This window comes from Homo sapiens, chromosome 14 (genome assembly GCF_000001405.40).
Source record: "Homo sapiens chromosome 14, GRCh38.p14 Primary Assembly".
Classification (NCBI taxonomy): domain Eukaryota; kingdom Metazoa; phylum Chordata; class Mammalia; order Primates; family Hominidae; genus Homo; species Homo sapiens.
In genome coordinates, this window is record NC_000014.9 from 90,524,500 (window position 1) to 90,542,551 (window position 18,052).

Sequence of the window (18,052 nt, forward strand, 5' to 3'; positions counted from 1 at the left end):
GAATCAGGCTGTGGTGGCCCACACTATTTTTAGATAATTGTGTTGAAAAATCCCAAGGCACATGTAGCATCATGCATTTTTTTATTCAGGAAGAAAAAAGAAAGGGACCTCCCCACTCTTCTCCCCACAGCCACCGCCTGCCCAAAACAGGTCATGCCCCTGGAGTGGCCTCGCACCGTCCATCCCCGGAGGGGCAGTAGCCTGGGCCCTGCAGCTGCCCAGCCCTGGGGGTTAGGGCCTTGGGGTTTCTGGCTAGAAACAGGGCTCACCTCGGTCTCCTCCTAAGCCTGGAGCTCTCAGGTGGTGCAAGGCACACGGGGATCCCCCACATTGCAGGTGGGGAGACTGAGGCCAGGCTGTACTCATCTCCATTACGAGGCCTTTTTTTTTAAAAAAAAAAAACAAACAAAAAAACAAAAAACAGCCTTATGAAGATGTGATTGGCACGTAGTAAAGCGCAAGCATTTAAAGTATACAGTTCAATATGTCTTGACATTTGTATCTATCCATGAAGCCATCGCCACTATTAAGAGAGGGATCATATCCATCACCCTCAAAATGTCTTTATCATCTTTGAAACCCCTCCCTCTGGCCCCCCCTCCACCCCCAAGTCTCCTTGCCCCAGGCGCAATCACGGGTCTGCTTTCCCTCACTCTAGATTAGTCCACATTTTCTAGAGTTTTCTATAAATGGAATCACACAGCACGTTCTTTTTTGACTGGCTCCTTCAACTCGTCACCACTACCTGGAGATTCACCCATGTTGCTGCAGGCACCAAGCCCCTCATATGGACAGATCACAATTCGCTTCTCCTTTGATCTGTTGGTGGACATTTGGATTGTGATCAGTTTTTGGCTATTACAAATAAAGCTGCTATAAACATTTGCGGAGAAGTCTTTGTATTTGAGGGGACTGCAGGGAGGCCGGGCTGAGTCAGCGCCACTGCCGCTGCTGCGTGTCCCTTTCTGAGGCCTCGGACCGCACCGCTTTCGCCCTGCGGCCCGGCTCGGTAGCCTGATCAGTCGCGTTCCCGGCTGCGTCTCCGGTCACCGAACGGGACGGCGGGATGGCGGGGTCGATCTGTGCAGACGCTGCTAGTGGTTCCGCAGTCGTCGCTGGGTCAGCTGTTTCGAGCGGCGGATCTGCTCCTATAGATGTCCAGATTGTTAGACGGTGGGCTTCATCCGTCCTACCTCGCCCAACCCAGTTGACTAATATTTGGGTCGGTGGAGCCCGAATAATACAATAAGAATAAAACCCAACGACAAAGGCCCTCTCTAACCCGAGTACACCGGCCTCTGGCTTTGTGACAAGCACGTCACTGTTAGGCTAAGCAGAGACTTTGGAACCCCGGTTCTAAAGCTCTCAGAGTGGAAGAGTACCAGGACATGGGGGTGGGGGTTGGGGCAAAGCTTTGCTCCCTTAGAATAATACCAACGTACAGAGTTGCGATTGGTTAAAAAATAAAAAAAAATAAAAAAAATAAAAAAAAAAAAGAAGTCTTTGTATTTTATATTTGTACATATATTTCCTTTTCTCTGGGGTACATACTAAGAGAGGAATTCCTGGATAATTCTATGTCTAACTTTTTAAGAAACTGCCAAACTGTTTTCCAAAGTGGCTGTACCATTTTACATTCCCTCCAACAACGTATGAGGGTTCCAATTTCCCCACGTCCTCACAAACATTTGTTATTGTCTGTCTTTTTGATTATAGACATCCTAGTGGGTGTAAGGTGGTATCTCTTGGAGTTTTGACTTGCATTTCCCTAGTGAGTAATGATGTTGAACATTTCTTCATGTGCTTGTTGGCCTAGACCTTACTTTAAAAAAAAATAAACTATTAAGTTTGGGATAATTTTAGATTCACTGAAAAGTTTCAGAGATAACACAGGGAATTCCCATTTACCCTTCACTCAATTTCCCCTAATATAACCTTTATGTTACCTGGCACATTTGTGCCAACAATGGAACTGACATTGATAAATTACTAGTAACCAAACTCCAGACTTTATTTAGATGTCAGCAGCTTATAATACGAATGTGCCTGATATGGTTTGGCTGTGTCCCCACCCAAATCTCGTCTTGAATTGTAGTTCCCATAATCCCCACATGTCATGGGAGGGACCCGGTGCAAGGTAATTGAATCATGGGGGTGGCTACCCTCATGCTGTTCTCATGATAGTGAGTTCTCATGAGCTCTGATGGTTTTATAAGGGTTTTTCCCCCTCCTTTTGCACGGCACTTCTCCTTCCTGCTGCCATGTGAAGAAGGACATGTTTGCCTCCCCTTCCTCCATGATTGTAAGTTTCCTGAGGCCTCTCCAGCCATGCTGAACTGTGAGTCAATTAAACTCGTTTTCTTTATAAATTACCTAGTCTCGGGTATGTCTTTATTAGCTGCATGAGGACGTACTAATACGGTGCCTTTCATCCAGGACCCCGTACCACCTAATATTTAGCTATGTCTTCATGGGCTTCTCTGGTTTTCGTCAGTTTCTTAGACTTTTCTTTTTCATGCTCTTGGTAGTTTTGAGGGGTATTGGTCAGGTATTTTGTAGAAAGTTCATCGGTTTGGGTTTGTCTGATGTTTTCTCATGATTACACTGGAGTTATGGGTTTGGGGGAAGAAGACCACAGAGATGAGGTGCCCTGCTCACCCCATCATATCTGGGGGTACCTGGTATTCACACGACTCATCACTGGGAATGCTGACCTTCATTGACTGGTGAAGGTGATGTCCTGCCAGGTTTCTCTGTGGTAATGTTACTATTTTTCCTATTTCCACATCCTTCTCTCTGAATGCAAGTCACCAAGTCCAGCCCACACTCCAGTGATGAAGCTCCCCAAGCTTCACTTGACTCTGAGGATCTTCTACGCCAGGCACTTCACATTGATGTTTCACTTAACCCCACCCCTGTTACTGTCCCTCTGGTAGAAGTCCTAATAATCTCTAAACTTAGCAAATTCGCAGTTACAAAGGCTCAGGGATCACTTAGTCAAAACCTTCTTTACCATTTTTACAGACAAGGAAACTGAGATCCAGAGGGAGATGTGACTCACTTTTTTTTTTTTTTTTTGAGATGGAGTCTCACTCTGTCGCCCAGGTGGGAGTGCAATGGCGCCATCTCGGCTCACTGCAAGCTCTGCTTCCCGGGTTCATGCCATTCTCCTGCCTCAGCCTCCCGAGTAGCTGGGACTACAGGTGTCTGCCACCATGCCCAGCTAATTTTTTGTAGTTTTGGTAGAGATGGGCTTTCACCGTGTTAGCCAGGATGGTCTTGATCTCCTGACCTCATGATCCACCCACCTCAGCCTCCCAAAGTGCTGGGATTTCAGGCGTGAGCCACTGCGCCTGGCAGATGTGACTCACTTTATGATCACATCACAAGCTAAAGGAAAATGGCGAGCCAGGTGTGGCGGCTCACGCCTGTAATCCCAGCACTTTGGGAGGCTGAGGCGGGTGGATCACTTGGAAGGATGTCTTGATCCAGAGTAAAGGCTCCATAGGCATTTATTGGTTGACAAGGTTGGCATATGTTGTATGAATAAGAGCTTCCGTATGTGATAAGGTTTCTCTCTGTGGATGACATAGCCATGGGGTCGCCTGCTGCCTCCCGGTTACCCATACAAACCATGGAAACAGGAATGGGTGACAGCCCCACGCTCCCCTGCTGTGAGCCTCCAATCCCCTGGCTGGCTAAACAGCAGCACCAGCTCCTCCTTCTGTCCAGCCGGACAGAGAGCCTGGAGGAAGCTGGAGTCTGGGTTTCAGTGGCTACAGACAACCCTCCAAATGGTCAGTTAAGAACCAGGGCCACATTGTGAGTGGACACTTTCACACTCTGCAGGTGACCACGCAAAGTGGTAGAGCAACTTATTTTATTTTTGTCATTCTTTTGAGGCAGGGTCTTGCTGTGTCTCCCAGGCTGGGGTGCAGTGGCATAATCACTGCAGCCTTGACCTCCCACTTTGTTACCTGTTTCCGACGGTGTGACCCGAGTGCGCTTCGTTACCCGTTTCTGATGGCATGACCCGACTGCACTTTGTTACCTGTTTTGATGGTTGTTTCTGATGGCGTGACCCAACTGTGCCTCGTTACCCGTTTCCGATGGTGTGACCTGACTGTGCTTTGTTACCTGTTTCTGATGGTTGTTTCTGATGGTGTGACCCGACTGTGTTTTGTTACCTGTTTCCGATGGTGTGACCTGACTGCGCTTTGTTACCTGTTTCTGATGGTTGTTTCTGATGGTGTGACCCGACTGTGTTTTGTTACCTGTTTCTGATGGTTGTTTCTGGTGGTGTGACCCAACTGCACTTTGTTACCTGTTTCTGATGGTGTGACATGACTGCGCTTCGTTACCCATTTCCGATGGTGTGACCTGACTACGCTTTGTTACCTGTTTCTGGTGGTGTGACCCAACTGTGATTTGTTACCTGTTTCTGATGTTTGTTTCTGATGGTGTGACCTGACTGCTTTGTTACCTGTTTCCAATGGCGTGACCTGACTGAGCTTTGTTACCTGTTTCTGATGGTGTGACCTGACTGCTTTGTTACCTGTTTCCAATGGTGTGACCTGACTGCGCTTTGTTACCTGTTTCCGATGGTGTGACCTGACTGCTTTGTTACCTGTTTCCAATGGCGTGACCTGACTGCGCTTTGTTACCTGTTTCTGATGGCGTGACCTGACTGCGCTTTGTTACCTCTTTCCGATAGCGGGATCTGACTGCATTTTGCATTCATGGGGGCACCGTCTGGCAAGGTGAGCTTGTCAGGGAGAGGCCGTAGCCCTCACCACCGCTAATGACTGGCTACCACACAGAGGTTCCAGGCAGAGTCTAGCTACTGGAGCCAACCAGCGTGGCTTCGGCCAGTTAACAGACCACTTCTTGGAGTCATGAGGATTAACTCAGTGAGCCCATGGAAAATGCACAAACTAAGCCCTCAATAAATATAGCCTGATGAACTGCCATTCTGCCTATCCGAATTCTACCCTAAGATAGATAATCAGAGATGCTAGGAGAAAACATGAGCATGTGAGTGGCTAAGAGTATGGATTCTGGAGTCAGGCAACCTGGGTTCAAGGCCTGCTGTAGTATTACCCAAACTTGGGCAAGTTTGTTCATCTTCTGAAGAGAGCTTCATTTCTCACCTGGACCTGTATCCGTAATAACTGTATGCATATCATAGCACTGTCATGAGGATTAGATGAGTTAATACATGTCGAATGATTGGTGCATAATAAATGCTCAATAATTGTGAGCTGGCATTACCCATTCCATTGTATGTGGCATGACAATGTGAAACCACTTAAATCATTGACAATAAAGAAAGGGTTAAACAGTCTGCAGTGCATCCATGTGAGGGGAGGTTATGCTGTCTCTAAGTTATCTAGAAAGATTTTTACTGACAAGAGAATATTAAGTGAAAAGATCCATACGGTGTTATAGATAGTATGATTTCACTTCATTAAATATCTATACTTGGCTGGGCGCTGTGGCTCACGCCTGTAAGTAATCCCAGCACTTTGGGAGGCCGAGGTGGGCGGATCACGAGGTCAGGAGATCAAGACCATCCTGGCCAACACGGCGAAACCCCGTCTCTACTAAAAATGCAAAAAATTAGCCAGGCGTGGTGGCACGTGCCTGTAATCCTAGCTACTCGGGAGGCTGGGGCAGGAGAATCACTTGAACCCGGGAGGTGGAGGTTGCAGTGAGCCGAGATCGCACCACTGCACTCCAGCCTGGGCAATTGAGCGAGACTCCATCCCAAAAAACAAAAAAATCTATACTCATGGGAGAATGCTGCAAGACAACAGGCCAAAATGCTGAGAAGGTGAGCGCTAAATAGTGGAATTTAATGATCTTAGTCTTCGTATGTCTGAAATTGTCCCCAAGGTGACTATGGTAAGTGAAATGATGGTCCCAAAAGATGCCTGCATCCTACTTTCTGGAACCTGTGAAGATGGTCACTTACCTGGCAAAAGGGGCTGTGCAGATGCCATTTGATGAGGGATCTTCAGATGGGGAGAGTGTCTTGGATTATCCAGGTAAGACCAATGTAATCAGGAGGCTCTTACAAGGGAAAGAGGGAGACAGGAGGGTCAGAGGCAGAGAAGGAGGAGTCACAGAGATCGCTCTACAGCAGAGGTCGGAGTGATGCCACTGCCGGCAGTGAACATGGCCATGAGCCAAGCACACCCCTGAGAAACTGGAAAGGGCAAAGTTTGATGTCTTTCCTAGTACTTCCAGAAAGAACAGCCCTGCCGTCACCTTGCCTTTTGCCCCATGAGGCCCGTTTTAGACTTCTGACCCCCAGAACTACATGTAAGACAGGAAATGTGCGTTGTTTTATTGGGTGCAGTGTATACTGCTCGGGTGATGGGTGCACCAAAATCTCACAAATCACCACTAAAGAACTTACTCATGTAACCACTGTGTTCCCCAATAACCTATGAAAATAAAAAATTAAAATTCTATAGAATTTGAAGAACAAAATGTAAATCTGCATAAATCTCTGTTAATAGATACAGGATATAAAATGATATAATTTTAATATTAATAGCTGAAAATGTAAAGAGTTTTGTATTCAGTTGAAGTTGTTATGAGATTAAAATATATTGTTATAACTTAAAAAAGAAAGAAAAAATTGTATGCTGTTTTAAGCCACTATATTTGTGGCAATTTGTTGTAGCAGCAACAGGCAGCTGATACAGTGGGTGTAGGTTTTACGATCACAAAAGAAAAGAAAAAGCTGCTTGCTTAAACAAACAAACAAACAAACAAAAAAACAGCTGGGCACAGTGGCTCACGCCTGTAATCCCAGCACTTTGGGAGGCTGAGGCGGGCAGATCACCTGAAGCAGGAGTTCGAGACCAGCCTGACCTACATGGTGAAACTCTGTCTCTACTAAGCACAAAAAATCAAAAATACAAAACAAAAAAACAAACAAAAAAAAAACAAAAAACAAAAATCAGCTGGACGTGATGGCGCATGCCTGTAATCCCAGCCACTCGGGAGGCTGAGTCAGGAGAACAGCTTGAACCCAGGAGGCGGAGGTTGCAGTGAGTCGAGATTGTGCCATTGCGCTCCAGCCTGGACAACAAGAGCGAAACTCCTTCTCAAAAAAAAAAAAAAAAAAAAAAAAGCCGTGGGTGAACTGGCTTCATTTCTATACAGGAGCTCTGTCCATCTGCCAGTGCAGACAGGCACAGTCCAGATCCAAAGGACAAGCTGGCTCAAGATTTTGAAAGCAATGAAGTGAAATTTGAAGTTGAAATTTTTGAAGTGAAATTGTAAAGTTGAAAGCCAGAGAATCTGAAAACACTGGACTGAAAAGTCTCATTGTGTCTGAGCTCTGCCCCTTTCTTATTTAATTTTGTAGTTTTAAAAACTGCTACATAGGCCAGGCACACTGACTCACACCTGTTATCCCAGACCTTTAAGAGGCTGAGGGGACCAGATCACTTGAGACCAGGAGTTGGAGATCAGCCTAGGCAACATGGCAAAACTCTGTCTCTGAAAAAAATTAGTGGGGCTTGGCATCTGTAGTCCCAGCTACTCAGGAGGCTGAGGTGGGAGGATCACTTGAGCCTGGGAGGTGGAGGCTGCAGTGAACTGAGATCGTGCCACTGTACTCCAGCCTCGGTGACAGAGCAAGACCCCATCTCAAGTAGAACAAAAACAAACAAATAAAAACCAAAACTACATAAAACTATTTGTAAAACTATATAAAACTACATAAAAATATTTGTAAAAATTAACATAGTTACCTTTGGACAACATATTAAAGAAAGAAACTCTGGAGATAATTTAAAGTTGATCCCCTATTTGTACATTACAGGATGCTCTTCCCTCTTCACATGGTCTGGTCCTTGCTGGCAATGTGAGGATGGGCCAATGTGAGGATGGGCCAGCCCTTTTGCAAACTGGCTGGGCCTAGTCATCTGGTACAAAGTGGCAGAACCTGACGCTTTTGGGCTTCTGCTCACCATCCCTCTTAAAGGTGAAGAAGCCCAGTGTCCTCCAGGGTGGGCACCTTCTTGTCACTCAATGTCACTGTCTTACAGAGGTGTCCCCGACCAGCCAATCTAAAGTAACCCTCCCCCTGTCACTTCAAATTTGCTCTAATCATCTGCCAAGCTGGTAATTATCTTATTTGTTTACCCCTCTGTTTGGGGTCTGTCTTCCCAGTCCCCAATAAGACCACCAGCTCCCCAGCCCAGGTACCTGTGTCTGGCCAGGGGTCCTTGATACACCGTGGCTGAACACAGGCAGGAAGGCCTCACTGCCACCTGGGTGGGTGGAGGTTCAGGCTGGGCTGGGTGCTCAGGAAGCCTCCATGGGCTTGGGGAGGTCATTTTCCTGGTAGCTGTGCCTTCCTGGGTACTGCTGAATGGCAGGCTAAGCTCAGGCTGGAAACCCTGACCTCCTGCCATGCCCGGGGGAGGAGCCATGCAGGGGTAGGGCTGGGCTGTGCTCGGCCATGTGCTTGTGTTTTACACACCCTCTGAATCTTTACAACCACCTTGTTCTCCCCATTTCACAGATGAGGAAACCGAGGCTCAGAGAGGACTAGTGACTCACCTAAGGCTCCTAGGAGAGTAGGTGGCCAGGTCCCGATGCAGGCTCCAGCCCAGCAGGCCCACAACCCGAGCCCTTGGGCCACAGGCACCGCCTCAGGCAGTGGCGGATGGGAGCCTCCTGTGCTGTGACCAAGTGGGACAGGGATGCATGACCCTCCTCAGGCCTTGGCTGGACCCAGGGCCCGAGGATGACCCTGTGGGGTCAAGGAGGCAAAGACAAGAGTGGTGGCGGTCACAGAGGCCCCCAGCCATGCCCATGCTGACCAGGCCCCTCACCTCCTCCTCCATGCAGAGCGGGACTCGGACTCTGCCTCAGCTGCAGCTAGCTCTGCCCTTCCTGCCCTGCTTCAGGGACCCCTCAGCACGTCCCAGCAGCCACTCACCCCTCGCCTGAGGATAGAAGAAAGAAGGAAAGACTTTATGGTGCACCCCGGGGGCCCCATGCCCTGTCCAGGTTGACCTCTGTTAATATCCCCAAAAGCCCGTAAGGGAAGTTACTCCCCGACCATAGAGATGAGGAGACAGAGTGCTTCCCCATCAGAGGTGACACGGCCAGGCAGAACTGGGATTCCAGCCAGATCTGTGTGACCCACAGCCCAGTGGTCACCAGGAAACCCTATTGTCCTCAGGGGGTCAAGGGCCAAACAGCAGAAGATGAGGGAGACGAGGAGGGTGGTGGGGGCTGTGGGTGGCCCGGATGGTCAGCGGGAGCTGCTGGCTCCAGGCAGACCTGCAGAAGATCCCCCACCACCTTCCTGCCACCTCTCCATAGTCAGCCCCACTCAGGGCTTGAGTGTCCAGGAGGAGTCCTGCCTGCTGGCCTGGCCCTGAGGCCCTGTGTGGTGGTCCTGAGGGGCGGTAGCCCTCGTGTCCCCTACCTGGCACACACCACCTCTGACAGCTGCCTGCAGACTCACATCTCAGCCCAGAAGGCAGGCTGGGCAGAGGTGACTGTCCTCATCTGATTCTGAGTCCAGGGAGGGACAGTGGCACAGTGAGGATCACCCCCAGCAGGTGCAGAGCTGGAGTGGGTCCCCCACGGTGTGACCTTGAGGGGGGGCCTCAGCCTGGCCCCCAAAAGACCTTCAGGAGGAGCACATTCCTGTCTGAAATGGTGCAGGATGTCCTTTTTCTGTTCCTATCTGGCTGCAGCGTGGGCAGGGGCAGCAGGAAATGCATGACCACAAGTGTGGGAGGAATGTTAGTGGCGGGAACGGCCGCAGCCCTAAGGCTCAGCCCTGGGGCTCGGCCCATTTTCCTGTGTGGGGTCCTCAGGCCCAGTGCGGCTGCTACTGCCCGCCTCCCCCGGAGGACTCCGGCCAGGCCTCAAAGGCTTATGGTCAAGTGTGTGGCTGCTTCTGGAGTAGGCAGGATGGACAGGGCAAGCAGACGCTAGGGGAGGGATGGGAGCAGCCACCTGGTACAGTGCCCAAGACACAGTTTACAGAACTTCAATATGAGTGGTGTCCCCTCACTGGGCAATGCCCACCCTGTCGGCCTTGAGAGGTGGTGGGGGAGGAGCAGGAATGAGAAGGTGGCGATATGGAGAGAGGGGGCCGAGTGGCAGGGGCCGAGCGCTGGGAGGGTATGGGGGCATTGGAGGGAGACAGTGGCCAGAGTGGCTGACCCTGCCCTGAAATTCCTTCAGTAGGGCCGGGTCACCCATTCCAGCCTGGAGCCGGCTGTGCTGCAGGGACCTGGGCTGGGGCTGGGGCAGCAGGTGACAGGCTGGTGACAGGCCCAGCACGGACAGGGCAGACGTGGAGAACTCCAAGGATGATGGGGAGGGTGCCTGCAAAGGGGGGACTTCCTGCAGGCAGAGAGTCTGGGCCCGCAATGATGACTGTGTGGCCGCCGGGGAGATGCGTGGGGCCATCTGGAGGAGTCTGGGTTGCTCCATGTGATCACAGACACGCCCACCTGTGCACGAGCATGCACCTCCCCCAGGCCATGACCACAGGTAGGGGGCATGGAGGATAACGGGAGGCCTTGGTTCCCTCCTTTCCCCACCGAGGGAGGTCCCCACGCAGCCCTGAGGGTGAGCAGAGCCCTGGCCACAGCCCAGGGCCCAGGACCTGGAAGGAGGCAGAGAGACAGACAGACGAGCCCATGGATCCCAAATGGGGCTGGGGATGGGAAGTGGCCTGCCCCGGCCACACCTGCCCAGGCCCCCAGCCTGGCTCTGTCCTGAGATCCTCTTGGCTGAGTGGGGCGGCTCCTTCAAAGAAGGGCCTCCTCCCTCCTCTGCCTCCTCCTTCCCTTCCTGGTCCATTCGCCACCCCACCCTGCCCGAAGTTGGCTCCCTGCTCACTGAGGAGTGGGTGCCCCGTCCCCAGGGCTCCCTGGCTTGGGGGTACCCAGGCCTCTGCCTCCCTGCTGCTGCTGCTCTGGGGAACCACCAGGCCCCCAGCCAAGGCAGCCCCCCTCAGCTTCCCTCTCTCCTTCCTCACGCCTGCCCTGCTGGAAACACAAGGTGCTCAGCGAGGCCGCCTTCAACACTCAACACGGCCCCTTCCCCACCGGACTCCTAACCTGTGTTCTCAGCTCCCCTCTGCAGCTACGCTCTTGAAAGAGACTTCACCTTTTCCTCCCCCTTGAGCCCACTCCAACCTGGCTTGACCCCACCTTAGTCAGCTTGGGCTGCCGTAAGAAAACCGCCACAGACAGGTGGCTTCAACAATGAACTTAATTTCTCACAGTCCTGGAGGTTCAAAGAACAAAGCAAAGGTTCCAGCCCATCTGGGTTCCTGTGAGGCTCCCTCCTGGCTTGCGGGTGGCCGCCTTCTCCGTGTGTCCTGGCGTGGCTGAGCGTGAGCTCACTTGCACTTTAGAGTTTCTTCTGGTGAGGACGCCAATCCTACTGGGCCAGGGCCCCTCCTGATGACCTCACTTCACCTGAATTACTTCCTTAAGGGGCCTATCTCCAAATATAGTCACACAGGGGCGGGGGCTCCACCCTATGAATCTGGGGGAGCAAAACTGCATCCCCAGCATGGCTCTGGTCAAGGTCACTGCCAACCTGCACACCACCAGGCCCACGGTCAGCTCTCAGGCCACCCTGACGGGGTCTCCAGGCATTGAGAGAGCCCACCCACCTCCTCCAGGAAGCTCACCCTGCCTGCTCTCCGCCTCCCTTGCAGCTGCTCCTGCGCCTTCTTTCCTGATCTCTTCATTTCCCAGCCTGTAAACCCCGCCAGCCCCGGAGCTCAGCCCTGACCTCTTCCTCTTTGTCTATGCTTGTCCCGAAGTGGCCCCGTCAGGCCCATGGCTCCCAGCCCCGCATCCCTGACACCTCCCACACTCTCGCCTCATCTTGGGCTCTCGCCTGGGCTCCTGCCCAGCCAGCTGCCTCCCCCTCAGAGGCTCCACAGGCATTTTGTATTCAACCTGCCTGAAAGCAGACTCCTGCCTTCTCCTCTCCTCCCCAACCTATTCTTCCTGTTTCCTGGCCATCATCGCCATCCTTCCAGTAGCTCAGGACAAGACCCTCACCCTCATCCCTGGCGTCTCCCCTCCCTCACACCCAGCTCCATGTGTGAGCAACCCTCTTGGCTCTGTCTTCAGAATCTTCACAGTCCAGTGCCTCTCGCCACTTCCTCCACGCCCCTTGGTCTAAGCACCATGGTCGCTGTGTGACAGCAGGAGCCTGACAGCCTCCCAGCTCCCACGCTGCGGCCTGCAGAATAACGTGCTCCCCCTGCCCCTCAAAGACGTCCACATCCCGAGCCCTGGAACCTGTGACTATGTTGCCTTCCATGACAGATGGAGCGATGCAGATGTGATTGAACGAAGGCTCTCGAGGTGGGGCAATGGCCCTGGACTATCCAGGGGGCCCAGAGCAACCAGCAGAGTCCTTAGAGGGAGGCAGGAGGTCAAAGGCAGAAAGGTGACGCAGTGACGGAGCAGAGGAAGGAAAGGTGACGTGAGGTGGCCACGAGCCAAGGCCGCAGGAAGCCTCTAGCCGCTGGAGAAGACGGGGACACCCGTCCTCCTCCAGAGCCTGGGGAAGGAGCACAGCCCCACTGAAAGCTTGATTTGACTTCTGACCTCCAAAACAAAGAGAATAAATTTGTGTTAAGACGCTAAGTTTGCGGTCATTTAAAATTTTTAATTTATTTTATTTGTAGAGATAGGGTCTTGCTCTCTCATGCAGGCTGGACTGCGGTGGCGTGATCACTCACTGCAGCCTCAACCACCTGGGCTCAAGCAATCAGCCCATCTCAGCCTCCCAAGCAGCTGGGACTACAGGTGCACGCCACCAAACCTGGCTATTTTTTTTTTTTTGTAGAGATGGGGGGGGGGTCTCACCATGTTGCCCAGGCTGGTCTTGAACTCCTGGCCTCAGCTGATTCTCCTGCCTCAGCCTCCCTAAGTGCTGGGATTACAGGCAGGAGCCACCATGCCCAGCCAGTTTATGGTAATTTGCTGCAACCACAGGCAATTAATATACACTGTTAGCATGGTCCACGAGGCCGCACCTGTGTGGCCCCTGTTAAACTTCTGACCTCTTCTCATCCTTCACCACCTGACCATCCCCCTCCCCTCTGGGCCTTTGCACCTGCTGTTCCTGCTTCCTGAGATGTCCTCCTCCCAGGTTACCTGTCTTTCTTCAGCCAGATGTCACCTTCTTAGCGAGGCTTCCCTAGTCACCTTCTAAACAGCAGCCCTGCCACTCCCTACACCCCTTCCCTGGCTTCATCTTTCTCCATGCGTCACCCCACCTGCCATACTCCTCATCTGTCTGTTTCCTTCTACCAGAAGGTAGGTCCTAAGTGGATGCAGCATCTGTGTCACACATTGCTGTGCCCTCAGTGCCTGGAATAAGCATCTGGCATGTTGTGAGCATTCCATAGATATTTGTTGGATGAATGAATGAGTGAATGAATGAATGAAATTTCACAGATGGGGAGACTAAGACCAGGGAACAGGAACGCCTTGCCTAAGTTAGGGTCAGCACTAGTCCTGGAATCAAACGCGGCATCTCCTGCATCTCACTGTCCAAAAAATGCCTCCACTGGGCAGACCTGGGCACTTTTGAAATGTTTATCCCTCAGGCCTGTCTCAATCTTAGTTCTGCCAGGTAATTCCACAATGACCCCAGGCAGGTGTCCTGCCGTCTTAGTGTCTAGCGTCTGCGTCCTCATCTATTAATGGATGGACGGATGGATGGATGGATGGATGGATGGATGGATGGATGGATGGACGGACGGACGGACGGGTGGACGGATGAATGGATGGATGGATGGATGGACGGATGGATGAATGTCCTTAGTTGGGAAAGGCTCAGCAGGTCAGAAGACTAGGAAGAAGGCCAGAGCCATGAGAGGGCTTGGGGAAGGAGAGGCAGCCAGGCACACAGGGGGCTGGGACACAGAGTCTGGTTCCAGGCAAGGGCTTGAGAAGCCATCAGGGGTTTATAGAGAGAACCGACTCAATCCTCCCTTCTAAGAGGACTGTGCAGACATTGGACTGTGTGGGGCTGGGGCCAAGGTACTGGGGATGAAGTTGAATGGGAGAGATTTGAGATGCGATTTGGGTAGAAAAGACAAGATTTACTGGAAAACAGAATATGAGGTGGGTGAGTGGGATTAAGGTGGGGGACTGAGGAGTCTGGAAGAGTGCCCAAGGGGGGAGTACCAAGGACGGCAGGACTTTCCTGCATTTCTTAGGTACCTTTTAGGTAGAAGTGATGGAAACCCCTGTGCTTGCACTAAGCAAGATGGGAAACTGTATGGATTCCTATGATGGAAAAATCTCGGGCCGCAGTGCTCCAGCGGTGACCCGGGGCCCGGCTCTCTTTCCACCTCCTCATTCTCTTTTTCTGTGTTGGCATCATTCTCAGGCAGGCCACCCCATATAATGTCAAATGGCACCCACAGCCCCCCACTGGCATCCTATTAGGACATCAAACCCAGCAGAAAGAGGCTTTTTTTCTAATGTTTTCATAACAAAAGTCCCAGGGGTGCTTCTCATTGGCCAAGCATGGGTCACATGCCCAAACCCAAACCAGTCACTGATACTGGGGAGCTGGAGGGCTCTGGTTGTTAAGGCTGGGCCCATGTGTCCATCCTTGAGCCATGTGGGTGGAGAGTGGGGGTGGTTCCCTGAGGGAGATGAAGACAATGGAGAGGTGCCGGGCAGACACACAGGAGCCAGCCCCCGCGCCCTGCAGGGCTGATACGCACAGGAGTCTCTGAGGTGAGGGCCTGGCAGAGAAGGTCTGGTACAGCGCCTGCACCATCTGCCTTGGTGGCCCAGCCTCCTCCCTTCCTGGTCCTGATCCAGTGGGCCTTGCCCCACGCTCCCGCATGGGATGGCAGAGCCCAGCCCTGTGCCTCCAATCAGGGCAAGCTGCCACCACACTGAGTACCTGCCCCAGGTCCTACATTGCAAATTCCATGACTTATGACCACTCAAAGCCACAAGTGCTGCCTGGCAGGGTCAGTGCTGAGGCTGGGGCTCCTACCTACTGTCTCTCCCTCCTTGGCTGCCCCCTAGCCCGCCTGCCTCAGTGAGCCAGAGAGGTCGTGCCCAGTTTGAATGCAGTCCTCTAGGCTTCAGGGCACCTAAGTTCAGAGCTCAGCCCTCCATATTTCCCTGTGTCCTGGAAAGGTGGGGCCACCCTACAGCTGTCCCTGAGAGACTGCAGATACCTGCTCAGTTTCTCTCTGGTTCCGGATCTTGCTGTCTACTCTGTGGGATTCGGACTTTGGCTCAAACACCTCTACACCTTCTTCTCATGGTGGCAAGAGGGCTGCTGCAGTTCCAGCCTCACTTCTCAGCTTGAAAGGCAGCAGGAAAGAGCGACAGCCTTCTCTGTGGCTCCCGCTCTGACTGGACCGCTTTAGGTCACATGCTCACTCCTGACCCTCTGTGGCCCATGAGTGCAGGAGGCTGCTTGGGCAGGACTGAATTGCATGCTCCAATTCCAAAGCCCCATCGGGGGAGAGCTAAGGCGAATTCCCAAACCAAAACCAGGGCTGTTGCTGCAAAAAGGAGGCCTGGGTGCTGAGGACGCAGGAAACACGTCCCTACCTAGGGATCATCTTCAAATTATAAGTGAGGAGATGGCCGGGCATGGTGGCTCACACCAGCACTTTCGGAGGCTGAGGCGGGAGGGCTGCTTGAGTCCAGGAGTTCAGGACCAGCCTGGGTAACACAGTGAGATCCCGTCTCTACAAAAACAAACAAACAAAATTAGCCGGGCATGCTAGTGTGCGCCTGTGATCCCAGCTACTCAGGAGGCTGAGGTGGGAGGATCACCTGAACCTGGGAAGTCGAGGCTGCAGTGATCTGTGATCGCACCACTGAACTCCAGCCTGGGAAACAGAGTGAGACCCTGTCTCCAAAAAATAAAAATAAAATAAGTGGGGAAAGAGAGGCTGGGCTTTCTAGTGTCAAGGGCTGACATGTCCAGAGTGGGCCCCCAGGTACAGACAGCTCCCCACCCCAGGAACTAAGCCTTTCTCAGGTCTTTGAGCTTTTACGAATGACACAGGCTATGAGTCCATTTAAAAATCATTTTATTATTAACATCATCTTCCCATGTAGCCAAGTGTCTGTCATGTATAAGGAATGTCGGTAAATATTCCATTTGAAGCTTCTTTGTACATATTTCCCTCGATAAATAAACTCTGAATTCACATAAAAAAGTTAAACTTAAATAACTCATATTTCCTTCTCTTGTAACAGGCATATATTGGTAAAATATAAATATTCTCGGACTCAGGCTTTGTTCTAAGTGAGGACAGTAATTGATCACATGGTACAATTATTGACAGTAAAACCAAGAAATTGTCAGCTGGTGTCCTGGCATGGACTAGTGCTGAGGTGGGAGACAGGAAGTTCACATTTGGTTTCTGGGCCAAAGTGGGGCAGGAGGGGTGGTGGGGAGAAAAGGACAGTTGTTTTCTTTACAGCTCTGATAAAAATAATCTGTGCTGCCACTGAATTTTAACTTTGAATATATTCTTCTACATTTGCTGATTAATTCCATAATCATTTTACTGAAAACTCAGATGTCAACTAACAAAATATGGCACATGATCCATTTTGAACAATGTCAATAGGTTCAGAAACTACCATTGGGCTGGCAAAAAAAACAAGAGAAACGCACATGGCGAGAGCGATGATTCGGGGTTGGTTTGGTTGGTTCACTGTGGCCCACTGAACACTCGTCCCTGGCCTCAGTGTGGCAGATTCATCCCCTTGGGGCGATGGCACAAGCCCTGGTGCCCGGCAGGGCCTCTGAGGCCTGAGCGGCAGGTGAGGCTGGCAGGCGCCTGCTCAGAGCACGCGGGGGATGATGGTGAAGGGCACGGCGGGGCTGCTGGCCTCCAGCTCCAAGGCTGTCAGGAAGCACTCCGTAGCCGCCGCATCGTTGCCCTGAGCTTGGAGGACCTCGCCCAGCCCGTTCCAGACCTCGTGGGCTGTCGAGTTCACCTGCACCGCGTCCCGGAGGATCTTCTCCGCCAGACTGTAGCGGCCTAGCTGGTGAAGGATCAGGGCCTGGAGAGGTCAGAGAGAGAGAGAGACAGTCAGCCATGGAGGCTTCAGGAGCTCTGCATCCTACTTGTCCTCGAGTTTCCAGTCAGTTCCTCGGAGCCGGGAATATATCGCCATTGGGCTGGGCCCATAGTAAGTTCTCCAGTATTTCCTGTGTTCAGGGGCAACAGTCAAAATAGTCGCCAAGCTGACTAATATGAAATTGCCAATATTCAGCCATGTTTTGAATATAAAAATGGCAACTTCATATGGTTCATCTGAAAACTTAAGAACCATGAATGAACTAATTGGAAGTCCGCAGTCTGCACTGACCCAGCGCGGCGTCAGCATGGGATGGGACTATCATCCTTTTCTGTTTGTTTTTTGTTTTTGAGATGGAGTCTCGCTCTGTCATCCAGGCTGGAGTGCAGTGGCGCGATCTTGGCTCACTGCAAGCTCCGCCTCCCGGGTTCATGCCATTCTCCTGCCTCAGCCTCCCCAGTAGCTGGGACTACAGGCGCCCGCCACCACGCCCGGCTAATTTTTTGTATTTTTAGTAGAGACAGGGTTTCACCATGTTAGCCAGGATGGTCTCGATCTCCTGACCTCGTGATCTGCCCACCTCGGCCTCCCAAAGTGCTGGGATTACAGGCGTGAGCCACAGGGCCTGGCCTGTCGTCTTTTTTTTTTAAACTAAAGAAACCATTGGTGGAATTATACTATGAGAATGATGACGACAGTTTTTACATTGCTCACAGCCCCTTCCCCGACCAAGGCCCTGACCTCACTGTCTCTGCTTGCCCCAGGCTGTGCCCAGCTGTCATCTTCGTTTTCCTTGGTTGGGGTGTACCCGTGGGTCCCACCTATTTCATCATCATTGCGTTTCCAAGCTGCGCACCTCTATAAGCGATGCGTGTACTCGCTCATCCAATGGACACTCTCACTTTCTCAACCTCTCCCTCGGGGGAGAAACATGTAGGTCACAT

General features: G+C 51.8%; 1 protein-coding gene across 3 annotated transcripts in view, besides 4 other annotated features; it reads right to left on the reverse strand.

Moving 5' to 3' along the window:
- Nucleotides 1-64: 64 nt before the first annotated feature.
- Nucleotides 65-18,052, reverse strand: part of TTC7B (tetratricopeptide repeat domain 7B) — a 291,867-nt gene continuing 273,879 nt past the window's right edge. For all 3 annotated transcript variants that reach the window (NM_001320421.2, NM_001010854.2, NM_001401365.1), the window contains one exon: nucleotides 65-17,090. In NM_001320421.2, the coding sequence (NP_001307350.1) occupies nucleotides 16,869-17,090 (222 nt within the window). In that variant the 3' untranslated portion in view covers nucleotides 65-16,868. The remainder of the gene's footprint in view (nucleotides 17,091-18,052) is intronic.
- Nucleotides 8,672-9,172: an enhancer, noted in NCBI's record as "H3K4me1 hESC enhancer chr14:90999515-91000015 (GRCh37/hg19 assembly coordinates)". NCBI's record gives its function as "activates a minimal SCP1, AML or CMV promoter by ChIP-STARR-seq in primed H9 embryonic stem cells {active_cell/tissue: H9 hESC(primed)}" and the evidence as "EXISTENCE:reporter gene assay evidence [ECO:0000049][PMID:30033119]".
- Nucleotides 9,207-10,037: an enhancer, noted in NCBI's record as "H3K4me1 hESC enhancer chr14:91000050-91000880 (GRCh37/hg19 assembly coordinates)". NCBI's record gives its function as "activates a minimal SCP1, AML or CMV promoter by ChIP-STARR-seq in primed H9 embryonic stem cells {active_cell/tissue: H9 hESC(primed)}" and the evidence as "EXISTENCE:reporter gene assay evidence [ECO:0000049][PMID:30033119]".
- Nucleotides 14,351-14,864: an enhancer, noted in NCBI's record as "H3K27ac-H3K4me1 hESC enhancer chr14:91005194-91005707 (GRCh37/hg19 assembly coordinates)". NCBI's record gives its function as "activates a minimal SCP1, AML or CMV promoter by ChIP-STARR-seq in primed H9 embryonic stem cells {active_cell/tissue: H9 hESC(primed)}" and the evidence as "EXISTENCE:reporter gene assay evidence [ECO:0000049][PMID:30033119]".
- Nucleotides 14,865-15,377: an enhancer, noted in NCBI's record as "H3K27ac-H3K4me1 hESC enhancer chr14:91005708-91006220 (GRCh37/hg19 assembly coordinates)". NCBI's record gives its function as "activates a minimal SCP1, AML or CMV promoter by ChIP-STARR-seq in primed H9 embryonic stem cells {active_cell/tissue: H9 hESC(primed)}" and the evidence as "EXISTENCE:reporter gene assay evidence [ECO:0000049][PMID:30033119]".